The following is a 13,046-nucleotide window of genomic DNA, read 5'->3' as shown; positions in this document are numbered from 1 at the left end:
ACCTTGGTGAATCATCCCAGTTAAACTGGTTAGTATTTTAGTCACTTATCACCAGTGATAAGTTTGGTTTGGGGAGTACATGTAAACTTTTTTATTTCTCTTATTTTTCACAATCTCTTCTACAAAAAAAAGTGGAGATATATATGATTTTTGCTTTTGTTATTATCTAGTATTAAATGTTCTTACATGGCTTATAATTAACTTTATTTTCTTAATTGTTTCTTCTTGATTTTTTATTAATAATTTGCATTGCCTTTTTATGTTAACAATTAGCTTAAGTCTAATTATTGCTAGAATTTCATAAGTATTTTCTAAAAACAAAAACTTCATTTCTAAAAGTAAATAGTGTTTAAACATGATTTGAACAAATAGATTTTAAAGGGCATTATAGACTGTTATAGCTTCAGCATATCAATTTTCGAAATATATTTGAACATACAGAACATGAGCAAAATTGATATCTTGTGAAATTTTAGAATGTTGGTCATAAAATTCAATGAAACTTTATATTTAAGTACTATTTTGCTTACATATACTTAATTTTGCAATTTTTTGATGCAATGTAGTTTTTAATGTTCACAAAAATGCAGTCAACTTAAAAACTTTTTTTGAAAAGCCAATTTCTCTGAAGCCAAAGAAGGACTATAATCCTTTTATGTGTCTTGCATTTAGGTAAATTTAAATGTTTCTGACATTTATTTTCTCATCATAATGGACAAGACTTTGATTAAAGCCAGAAGGCCATGAGACTTGCAAAACAAACAAAGAAGTCCAAAAAATGTTTAAGGCTGTTTTTAGGCAATATGATAAAGATGATCACACATTGGAATGTGTAGGATCTGATTGCTCTTCTCTGCTATCTAAATAGTGTATTTGCATGTTCAAGTTATCAAGGAAAGCAACAGCGCCAAGCCAACCAAGCCCAGCACCTACATTATACATCCAACTCTCAGAGAAGTTTTGAACATTTCTAAATATCTTCAAATGCAAACCAAGAAGCAAAGTTTTTTATGAAATCTGTTCTAATACTGCTAAAGAGAGTTCAAGATGCTACCAATTACAGTGTTTCACAATTAACAGCAAATGCCAAAATCCCTCATGGTGTTGCACATCACTCACTCGATCAGCCTGCGTGAAAATCTTCAACACTGTGTTTTGGAAATACTTATAAAAGAAAACTCATTGACATCATGTCACATGACATAGAGATACCCGTAAACTAAAATAACATTAAATGTGAAAAATTTTATTACAGAATGACGGATTTACACATATTAGTGCCTGGGATGCAGGATGAGGAAGAGCTTGAGATTGCACTGAGGTTTTAAAGAATTGATGGTGAATAGGAAGCTACCAAATCTGCTCTCTATGTTATTAAGGAGCCTTCTACCCAGCAGAGAAGGTACAGTCAACATAGCACAGGTGGGGCGCCGATTGAAGAAACATGGAACGATGTCACCTTAAACCCCACCACTTGAGGCTGTTGGGTAGGCTGGTTCTATCTATAAAAACAGTGGTGATGGTGGTAAATGCTTCTATGGATCTTATGAGGATTAAAGGACACACTGTCAATCAAGTGCCTGCCACGCAGTAAGTAGAAAGAAAGGAGGCAGTGGAAGGAAGAGCAGGAGGAATGGGAGCAGCAGCAGAATTTGATAGAACTAAAATTATTATCTGGGTTTCTGATACAAGGCACTGTCCTGGAGTGTGGGTCACAACTTAGATTCTGAGCTTGTCTACTAATGTGGGCAGGAGTCATGAGGAATCAGAACCATATCGTGGTGTGCCTGGAACATAGCAGCCGCTCAGAAGACATTTGTACAGGTGGCAAAAGACAGCTCAGATACACTCGGTCATGCCTGGCGGGCGACCCACAGCCATCTAACCAGCGTTACTGGAAAATCTCATTCCTGGGCCTTGGCGGCCATACATGCTCTTGTCAACCAACGGTTCCAATGAGATACTCCAGCAAATATCAGCTCTGCCTTTATAAACTTTGCTGGCCTTTTTAAGTCCCTGGATAACTGCCACCTTATCCAAGAGAGAACTGAAGTGAAATTTGTCTTCCAATAATTTTAGAAGAGGTTGGGAAAGGTTGCTGGCTAATTGTAATGCTCAGTAACTCCTGTTACCATGACCTTCCCGTCAGACATGCCAAGAGTAATGAGATACAGCAGCATTCATCGAATTATGCATTCTGAGCACATCCACGGAGGAACGCCAGGCAGTCGCTCAGTCATCAGCCATCTGCCTTTCCCTTCCCAATATCCACTTTGCAGAGATGGAGCTGGGGCCTCCTGCTTTTCCAAGCTTGATCTTTCATGGATGTCAGTAGGGAGGAAATCCTGGTGGCAGTATAAAGTAGTGGTTAGGGGAGCTGGGAATGTGACCTAGATTAAAATAATGTCTCTATTGTTTGTTAGCACAGTGGCTTTGGTCAGTGTTGGAGACTGAGTTGTGTCACCTCCAAATTTGTATCTTGAAGCTCTAACCCCTCAATGTGGGTGAATATCGAGATAGGGATGTTAGGGAGGAAGGGAAGGTAAGATGAGATCAAAAGGATGTGGGTTTAGCCAGGCACAGTGGCTCACACCTGTAATCCCAGCACTCTGGGAGGCCGAGATGGGCAGATCACGAGGTCAGGAGTTTGAGACCAGCCTGGCCAACATGGTGAAACCCCACCTCTACTAAAAATACAAAAAAAATTAGCCAGCCGGGGTGGTTGGTGCCTGTAATCCCTGCTACTTAGGAGGCTGAGGCAGGAGAATTGCTTGAATCCGGGAGGCAGAGGTTTCAGTGAGCTGAGATTATACCACTACACTCCAGCCTGGGCGACAGAGCAAGACTCTGTCTCGAGAAAAAAAAAAAATTACCCGGGCATGGTGGTGGATGCCTATAATCCCAGCTATTCAAGCAATTCTCCCTTGAACCCAGGAGGCAGAGTTTGCAGTGAGCTGAGATCAACCCACTGCACTCCAGTCTGAGTGTCAGAGGGAGACTCTATCTCAAAAAAAAAAAAGGATGGATGTGGGTTTAATCCAATAGGTCTGGTGGCCTAAGAAAAAGAAGAGACACTAGGGATATCCATGCACAGAAAAAAAGGCCACGTCGGGGCACAGGACAAAGGCCACCATCTAGAAGTCAAAGAGAGAGGCCTCAGAAGAAACCAAACTCATGATACGTCAAACTACCAGCCTCCAGAATTGTGAGAAAATAAATTTCTTTGTTTAAGTTCCCCTGTTTGTGGTATTTTGTTATGGCAGTCCTAGCAAACTGTTACAGGCAGGTTTTTCAATCTAAGTCTCAGGTCTCCTCTGCAAATAGAGAAAATCAGAAGCCCTATAGGGCTGGAGAGAGGACAGAATGACATAAAGCCCATCAATGGCGGGGCCTGGGCCTGGCACAGAAGAAAGGGGGCTGCACACAAGTGAGGTGTTAATTTTAATTATCCAACTCATCCGTTTTAAAACGCATGAGGTCCAGGGAAGTTAAATCACAGCTCAAAACCAGTAGCTATTTGGTAAGCCTGATTTGGGAGCCAGGAACTTCAGAGTCAGGATTTAAAAGAATAGGATGTATCACTGTAATCATTATCTAATTCATCTCTCTTACAGCAGCTGCCTGCCTTTCTCATTCTAAATAGCAGCCTTGGGTAGCGACCAGGGATGCGGGGTCAAGGCCTAAATTGAGCTCTGACCAAGAGCCAAGCACTGTTTCAGGTGCTGGTGACTCATAGGCAAGCAAGGCAGACCAGATCCCTGCTCCCATGGAGCCAGCAGGGGACAGATGGGCTAGACAGTAACTGCCAACAGGGAGACAGGGAAGGCCTCTCTGAGAAAATGATGCTCCAGCTGAAAGCTGAATAATGAGAGAGAGCCAGGTAGGACAATATGTGGGGGAAGCAAGATCTTGTCGCATCACCGCACTACACCCGGCTAATTTTTGTATTTTTTTGTAGAGACAAAGTTTCACCATGTTGCCCAGGCTGGTCTTGAACTCCTGGGCTCAAGCAATTCTCCCACCTCAGCCTCCCAAAGTGCTGGGATTACAGGCATGAGCTACAGATTAGTTTATCTTTAACACAATCATAGTTCATATTCTCCTACCTAGAAACCTTGTTTACTTATGGATTATGTCCAAGAGTTTTTAATTATTTTGATGGAAAAGAAAACAAATCCACAGATTTTTTTTTCTTAGCTTAACTGAAACCCAAAATGAGGGCTTATTTCAAAGAGAATTATCAAAAGAATGTTTAAAAAGAAAGTGATGGTGGAGGTGGTGGTAGAAATAGGCTGCTGATGAGCAGAAACCATGAGGACACATTCAGTATGTCGGAGCTTCGAAGGGCCTTGGAGATAACCTTGTTTGACTGCCTTGTTTTTAAGATGAGAAAACTGAGGCCATAAGCGGTTCAAAGACTTGATTAAAGGCCCAGAGCAAGACAGTGGCAGGACCAGGATGGACATTCAGGCCTCCCAATTCTTAGCCCAATGTTTTAGCCAAACAAATGCCTCTCCCTCAATACCTCCCTAAGGCCCTGTGGGGTGAGGAGAAGCTGAGGTCCAGTGAATTGGAAGCCAAAGTTGTGCCCACACTCCAGGGTACTGAATGGTCACCGGTTTTCTCATTTCTATTGCAATGAATCCAGGGCTTTGAGAAGCTAAGTGACTTGTCCAAGATTACATGAGTAAAAAGTAATGAGAAGTGCTTAAAACTACAGCCTGTCTGCTTCCGATGTAAATCAGAGATGAGGCTCTTAATTAGGTGTTGAATAAGGTGGTGCATTGACACCTGTCAGTTATACCACATAGGCTCATTTCTGATGCTTGGGCAATGCTCAGCCACAGCTTTGACTTGATGGAAGCCAACAGAGGCAAATTCTTTTAAACCATAGGCTTCTAGACTAAGCCAAAATCCAAATACCTTAGGATATTGCCAAGACTGAAGGACCGTTACACAGCCTTTCAGATTCACCTCCCCAGGAAGAAGCTTATTTTGATATTTCCTTCTGCAAACCCTCCTTTTCCCCAGGAACAATGACTGCCTCCCTCAGCTCTCCTCATCTGTCTTCATTGTATTTGTCTCCCCAAGTTTCAATTATTGACTTTCTGCTTCATCTCTCTCTTTACACTGAGAATCTCAGAAACAATAAATTTTATTCATCTCTGTTGGCCTGGCACAATGCCAATGCCTATAAATGTTATTTTAATTAATTAATAAATTATATGGGGGTTGAAATGATAGTATATTCACTTATTTATTTTGGCTTTGCAACCTTTTGTAAATAGACGTTGGATCACAGCAGGCATTAAAACGATAGTCCTGGCCGGGCGCGGTGGCTCAGGCCTGTAATCCTAGCACTTGGGGAGGCCGAGGCAGATGGATTGCCTGAGCTCAGGAGTTCAAGACCAACCTGGGCAACATGGTGAAAACTTGTCTCTACTAAAATATAAAAAAATAGACGGGCTTGGTGTCACATGCCTGTATTCCCAGTTACTTTAGAGGCTGAGGCACGAGAATTGGTTGAACCCGGCAGGTGGAGGTTGCAGTAAGCCAAGATCATGCCACTGCACTCCAGCCTGGGTGACAGAGCAAGACTGTGTCTCCAAAAAAAAAAAAAACCACGATAGTCCTCAATCAAATCAAACCCTCCATTTATACAAAATGTAATCTAATTATAAACACAATTTTTTAAAATTCAACATAACACCCTAAAAGAAATATAAAGCAGACATTAAAGGAAAGTAATATGTAATAAAATAGCAATTAAGTCAAGATGTAAACATCCCCTATGTGACTGTACTAGAGGACTAGTGAAGCTGGGAGATGCCTGCCTCTCTCGTGATACCATGAGCATCTTTGTAAATGAGTCAGCTGCAATGTAAACTGCTACATGTGTGCGGGATAGTGGCTCCAAATCACATAGAGCTTTGCCATTGGTGATGAAATTTACTATATCAGTTAACAACCCTTGCTAACATTTTGAACAAAAGACACTGATCATTATTTGTCCAGTGGGAAATTTAAATATCCTGGAGAACCTAGTTCTTTGATGTGCAGGAATGTCCCCTCCGTTTCAGGGCTCTGGCATCCTGGGTCCCCACTCACTAAATATTACAGCCCAAGATCATGCCCACAAATTTCCAATCGTCCCTGGGGCCAGCACTGTCCCCATGGAGACCCATCACTCTGGACTAACCAATGATTTACCTCAAATGACATTCCCTCCTAATAACATAGTGGCTTTTCTTTCTTCTGGACTTCTTAAAAGTTTGAAAACAATTCTGAGCTATAGATAAAGCGAAACATCTCTCAAAAAAATTAAGGCAATCAAAATTGTACCATAAGTCAAATCTGTTGGAACTCAACATTCTGATAGCTATCCACCATAAGCCAGGGCTGTGAGTATTACTTCTTATTGCACCTCTTTATTGTTGAAGATTCTTGACCCATGGGTGTCCACCAAGAACAAGGTAAAATGATGTCTAGAAAAAAAAAATGACTAGAGGGCACTGATAGCACTGAGACCAAAGGCTCCACGCAGACGCTGATCCAACAGTTGGACCATTTCAGTTCCCAATGGAAAACAGATAAGAATCCAAATGTAAGCAGCTTCAGATTCATATTTTAAAATTCTCAAGAGCCATGGTCTATTTCCACAGCTCTATTTTACATACTTATTTTATGAGTCTCTTGATAGAAATCTAAGCCTTAAATGTTCTTCCACAAACCATTAATCTTCAAAATACAATTTAAGGAAGAGGCTGTGTGGCAATCAAGTGCTGGCATTCCCAATTGATAAAATATAAAGGAGGCCTTGAGTTTTGAGAACAATTAACCGCAGACTGGGGCTGGAGTACCAAACTCCTCCTATCCCCACGGCAACTCACTCACAGAGATGGCATAGCTCCATGAGCACATCCTCTCGTTTCTTTCTTTTTTCTTTTCTTTTTTTTTTTTTGAGATAAGTATATTTTTATTTATTTTTATTTTTGTATTTTTAAAAAATTTTATTTTAGGTTCCGGGGTACATGTGCAGGTTTGTTATATAGGTAAATTGCGTGTCACAGGGATTTAGTGTTCCTTACCCAGGTAATAACCGTAGTACCTGATAGGTAGTTTTTCAATCCTCACTCTCCTCTCATACTCCACCCTCAAGTAGGCTCCAGGGCCTGTTGTTCTTTTCTTTGTAACCATGTGTACTCAATGCTTAGCTCCCACTCATAAGCAAGAACATGCAGTGTTTGGTTTTTTCTTCCTGCGTTAATTTGCTCAGGATAATTACCTCCAGCTCTATCCATGTACCTGCAAAGGACATAATCTCATTCTTTTTTATGGCTACATAGTATTTCATGGTGTATATGTATCAGGTTTTCTTTATCCAGTCTATTATTGATGGGCATTTAGGTTGTTTCTGTGTCTTTGCTATGGTGAATCATGCTATGATGAACATATGCGTGCATGTGTCTTTAGGGCAGTACAAGTTACATTCCTTTGGGTATATACCCAATAATGGGACTGCTGTGTCAAATGGCAATTCTGTTTTAAATTCCTTGAGGAATCTCCAAACTGCTTTCCACAGTGGCTAAACTAATTTACATTCCCATTAACAGTGTATAAGTGTTCCCTTTCCTCCAAAACCTTGCCAGCATCTGTAATTTTTTGACTTTTTAATAATAGACATTCTGACTGGTGTGAGATGGTATCTCATTGTGGTTTTGATTTGCATTTCTCTAATGACTAGTGATGTTGGGCATTTTTTTATATGCTGGTTGGCCACGCGTATGCCTTCTTTTGAAAAGTGTCTGTTCATGTTCTTGTCTCACTTTTTAATGGGGTTGTGTGTTTTTCTTGTAAATTTAAGTTTCTTATAGATTCTCAATATTAGACCTTTGCCAGATGCATAGTTTGCAAATATTTTCTCCCATTCTGTAGGTTATGTGTTTACTCTGTTGATAGTTTCTTTTGCTGTGCAAAAGCTCTTTAGTTTAATTAGGTCCCATTTGTCAATTTTTTGCTTTTGTTGCAATTGCTTTTTGTGTCTTTGTCATAAAGTCTTTGCTGGTTCCTGTGTCCAGAATGGTATTCCCTAGGTTATCTTCCAGGGTTTTTATGGTTTTTTGTTATAGATATAAGTCTTTAGTCTATCCTGAGTTAAATTTTATATATAATGGTGTAAGGAAGGGTTCCAGTTTCAATCTTCTTCAAGTGGCTACCCAGTTATCCCAGAACCATTACTGAATATGGAGTCCTTTCCCCATTGCTTGTTTTTGTCAGGTTTGTCAAAGATCAGATGGTCATAGATACGGGACATTATTTCTGGGCTCTCTATTCTGTTCCATTGGTCTATGTGTCTGTTTTTGTACCAGCATCATACTGTTTTGGTTACTGTAGCACATTCTCTCATTTCTCTTCTGAAAATGGAGATCATTTAAGGTTACCTAGCAAGGAAGTAAAAAGAAAAGAGAGAAGGAAGGAAGGGAGGAAGGAAGGGAGGAAGGAAGGAAGGGAGGGAGGGAGGGAGGGAGGGAGGGAGGGAGGGAGGGAGGGAGGGAGGGAGGGAGGAAGGAAGGAAGGAAGGAAGGTAAATAAGAAGACATATGCCATTCCTTAGAAGTCAGAGAGGCACATCATAGAAAATCTTAATCCCCTAAGAAAATTTCCTCCCCTTTTCTCCTTTTTTGTGAGGATTCTGTCCCAGGTGAAAAAGTCAATGTATGAGACAGAGACGAAGTGAGAGGACTGGTATAAGAAGACCAGAAATTTTATATAAGGAGATATGAACAACGAACTAGTAACAGTCTGAAAGTCAAGCTAAGGATTTTTTGATGAGACTTTCCCCTGCTGTGATTAGTCACCTATTTGGAGGCATGACCCTGACATTCTGCCTTTTACCTATTTGATGTTTTAGAGAAGGGATTCTCAAAAATGTCCTGCACATTAGCAGTACCTAGGGAGCTTTTAAGGCTCTTGATGTCCAGGCTTCACTCCAGACCAGTTAAATCAAAAATCCCTGGGAACAGACCCAGCAATCAGCATTTTTTTAATCTCTTTAGATGATTCTAATAATGTATGTAAGTTTAAGAACCAGTTTTAAACAGCTACGCCTTTTAACTCCAGGAATAAATAAGGCAAATGAAAATGATCTTTTGAATATCTCAGCAGACTAACAATACCCTCCTTAGTATGTGCAATCTCAGAATGCCCAGTATGCAGACTTTACGTGTGATAATGGACATAAGCCTTGAAGATTTTTCAGCATTCCCCAAAACTGCATCTGTTAATGACACAGTAGATGACTGACTGTCCATTTTGATTATACCTAATTACAATAAGAACATGATTAATGATAGTTAGGGACATTTTATTTTTTAAGGCATAATGATGAAAATTAATCATGCTGTAGGCACATCCCCAACTCCCACTCACTGAACAGACTAGGCAAGAGAGCATGATATTCATTATAATCTCTTCTTGTCTGACTTTACTTGACCTTTCAGGTAGAATTCAGTGAAAGTAAAAAGAAAAGAGGACAAGACATTCCCTTCAGGGCAAAAATTTAAAAAGAGAAAGAATAGATAGAACCCAGGACTTTTGCAGCAGATGAAACATCAAACACACACACACACACACACACACACACATACTCACACACACTCAACTGACCCCACCTCTCAAAAACAAAAGTGTTTAAAAATAAGATCTTGGGGAATTGGATCATCATAGTAGACTGAATACCTGCATCTTCCTTTCCTCCTGCTCAGAGTCTCATAAGAGGCAAGAAAATATATTTTTAAAAAAGGAAAATTATAATAGCAGTAGTAAACAATAAATATCATTATAAAATTTTTATAATGAGAAATTTGTTAAAGAAGGAACCTAGGTGGTATTAGACTAAGGATAAATAAAATGAAAGAAAATCAAAGCCAAAACATGTATAAGAGAAGACTTCTCTGGACATCCACAGATTGGTTCTGTGAGCACCCTTTATTCAATCAACAGCTGTAAAGAGTAGGAGGAAGCCCAGACATCACCAGGGTAATTAAATGAAGAACTGAATTTAGAAGATATGTACTTATATCATCTGTACTTTGCCCCAGTTCCTTGTACATGCAATGAAACAGGCAGTAACTTGTGTATACGGGTAATAAAAAATTCAAAGCATAGCAAATATTTGTCAGCAATCACAATAGAGTGAGCAGGTAAAATTTTCCTATAAAAAGACAAAGACCATCCTGTTGAGGTTAGAAATATTTATTTGCCATTTACAAAAAATAAACAATAAATATGCACACACACATGATCCTGAGCAAAAGTTGAAAAATGAAAAAATTATATCAAAAAAGAAGCAAATATGGCAACCTTAATATGAAACAAGATGAAACGCAAGTAAAAAAACTTTAAAAGAGGAAAAGGTGAGCTTAATCTCATATTTAGTTTTTAAAACATCATACACTGAGAAAGTATAACACCAAGTTCAAGAACCTTTATGCACATAACACAATAGCTTCAGATATCATGTCTTCAAACTGAGAATTTTTCTTAGTGAAACCCAAACAAAAACTTCCTATGCAATTCAACCTGCTGTTTTCATTTTCACTGAGGCTAGGCAGGGTGGTCCTGAGGGACCCCTTAGGACACTATCTTCTCTGCCTGGAGATAAGAGGAGGAAAAATGACAACAGGAAGCAGAGTGCTTTTTTTTTTCTTTGAGACAGAGTCTCACTCTGTCGCCCAAGCTGGAGTGCAGTGGTGCAATCTTGACTCACTGCAAGCTCCACCTCCCGGGTTCAAGCCATTCTCCTGCCTCAGCCTCCCAAGTAGCTGGGATTACAGGCGCCCGCCACCACACCCGGCTAATTTTTTGTATTTTTAGTAGAGACAGGGTTTTCACTATGTTGGCCAGGCTGGTCTCGAACTCCTGACCTCGTGATCCACCAGCCTCAGCCTCCCAAAGTGCTGGGATTACAGGTGTGAGCCACTGCGCCTGGCCAGCAGAGTGCTTTTGTAGATGTGGATTTGATGTATTTATGTGCCTGATACAATGCCCAAGATGACTTTTGTTGACTCACCTGATTCGGGGAATGTGTAAAACCCTGGCAGTCCCCAAACATGAGTATGTTCAGCTCTGCATTTGAAGGAAGTTTCTGTTGGTCTAGCCAGTGGCGGAATGGCAGCCTTAGGAAGGAGTAAGCCCTCTCCTTCTCGAAAAACCCGAGCAAGGCTGGAGACTTCTCTGCAGTGGTGGGGTAGTGAAAATATATACGTGAAAGGGGTGACCTAGATTGTTTTAAATAGGGCTTTTTCTCTCAACTCACAACCCTATAAATCAAAGAAATATAAACTGAAATGGCCACATTGAAGTTAGCAAGGAAAGTAGGGAGGAAGGACATCTCTTTCAACTGACATGTAGATTTGAACTGAGGAGGTGATACAGTTTGGCTGTGTTCTCACCTAAATCTCACCTTGAATTGTTATAATCCCCATGTGTCAAGGGCAGGGCCAAGTGGAGACAACTGAATCATGGGGGAAGTTTTCCCCATTCTGTTCTCATGGTAGTGAATAAGTTTCACAAGGTCTGATGGTTTTACAAATGGGAGTCCCCGTTCACAAGCCTTTTTGCCTGCTGCCATGTAAGATGTCCCTTTGCTCTTCCTTCATCTTCTGCCATAATTGGGAGGCATCCCCAGCCATGTGGAACTGTGAGTCCATTAAACCTCTTTCCCACACAAATTACTCAGTCTCCAGTATGTCTTTATTAGCAGCATGAGAAAGGACTAATACAAGAGGCAAGAGAAAATCCAAGGTTTCTTCCAATCCTCTGACATGAACAAGATGGGAATGTGTGATTGGAGTAGATTGAATCAAATTTTGCAAATATTCACTCTCTTGTGCGTCCTACCCCCACAGGAAGGAATCTAATTCCCAGCTTTGGTCGTGTGACTTGCATTGACCGGAATGTGAGCAGACATGCCAGACACTGTGTTAAAAATGACTCTTTCGGTGTGACTTGTGGTTTGGCAGGCATCTTGAGCCTCCACCATAGGAAGGGTATGTGACTTTGCTAAAGCTGCCATGACAAGTACCACAAGCTGAGTGTCGTAAACAACAGACATTTATTATCTCACAGTCTCGAGGCTGGAAGTCCAAGATCAAGGTGTTGGCAGAGTTGGTTTCTCCTGAGGCCTCTCTCCTTGGCTTGCAGACGGTCACCTTCTCCCTGTGTCTATTCACATGCCATTCTTCCAGGTGCGTGCCTCCAAATTTCCCCTTGTTATAAGAACAGCAGGCATATCAGATTAGGGTCCACCCTAATAACCTCATTTTAACTTGATTACCTTTGAAAAGACCCTATCTCCAGAAAAAGTCACATTCTGAGATACTGGAGGTTAAGATTTCAACAGATGCATTTGGCAGGGGGCACATAATTCAACTCATCAAGACCATATCCCAGAAAGGGGCCGCTGTTTCCGTCTGAGTCTGGAAGTAGAAGGCCAACTGGAAGGGATATGGTGGGGACCTTCAGCCCTTATGCTACATGAGCAATTATAAATGTATATGGTAAGCCATTGAGCTTCAGAAGTTGTTTATTAGACAGCATGATTCACCGAAATCTGACAGATATACCAAGTTAGTAGCAAATTCACTAACAATGAGCAAATTATTTGAAAACCACAATGCCTCACTCTGTAAGAAAAGAAACTCTTTCATTTTCAGTGAGCAGTTTCATGATATCAGCAAATCTGAGTGGCTCAGGGGGCATAAAGCATGGAGATGAGGCGAACACTCCAGAAAAGAACTCATGGTGGGATGAGAAGTGAGCTTGGTGTATTAGTTCATTCTTGCACTTCTGTGAAGAACTACCTGGGACTGGGTAATTTATAAAGAAAATAGGTTTAATTGGCTCACAGTTCTGCAGGCTCTACAGAAAGCATGGCTGGGGAGGCCTCAGGAAACTTACAATCATAGTGGAAGGCAAAGGGGAAGCAGGCACGTCACATTGACCAGAATGTGAGCAGACATGCCAGACACCATGTTTAAAAAGAT

General features: G+C 40.6%; 1 long non-coding RNA gene across 2 annotated transcripts in view; it reads right to left on the bottom strand.

Moving 5' to 3' along the window:
* The window catches only part of LOC124907986 (uncharacterized), a 61,427-nt gene that overhangs the window by 33,266 nt on the left and 15,115 nt on the right, over nt 1-13,046 (bottom strand). Inside the window, exon 2 of one of the 2 annotated variants that reach the window (XR_007088097.1) lies at nt 12,097-12,269. The exons of the other annotated variant lie outside the window; for it this stretch is intronic. This is a non-coding gene — a long non-coding RNA (uncharacterized LOC124907986). Of the gene's footprint in view, nt 1-12,096; nt 12,270-13,046 lie in introns of those variants that run through there. 2 annotated transcript variants of the gene reach the window in all.

This window comes from Homo sapiens, chromosome 2 (genome assembly GCF_000001405.40).
Source record: "Homo sapiens chromosome 2, GRCh38.p14 Primary Assembly".
Classification (NCBI taxonomy): domain Eukaryota; kingdom Metazoa; phylum Chordata; class Mammalia; order Primates; family Hominidae; genus Homo; species Homo sapiens.
This window is presented reverse-complemented; position numbering and strand designations above follow the sequence as displayed.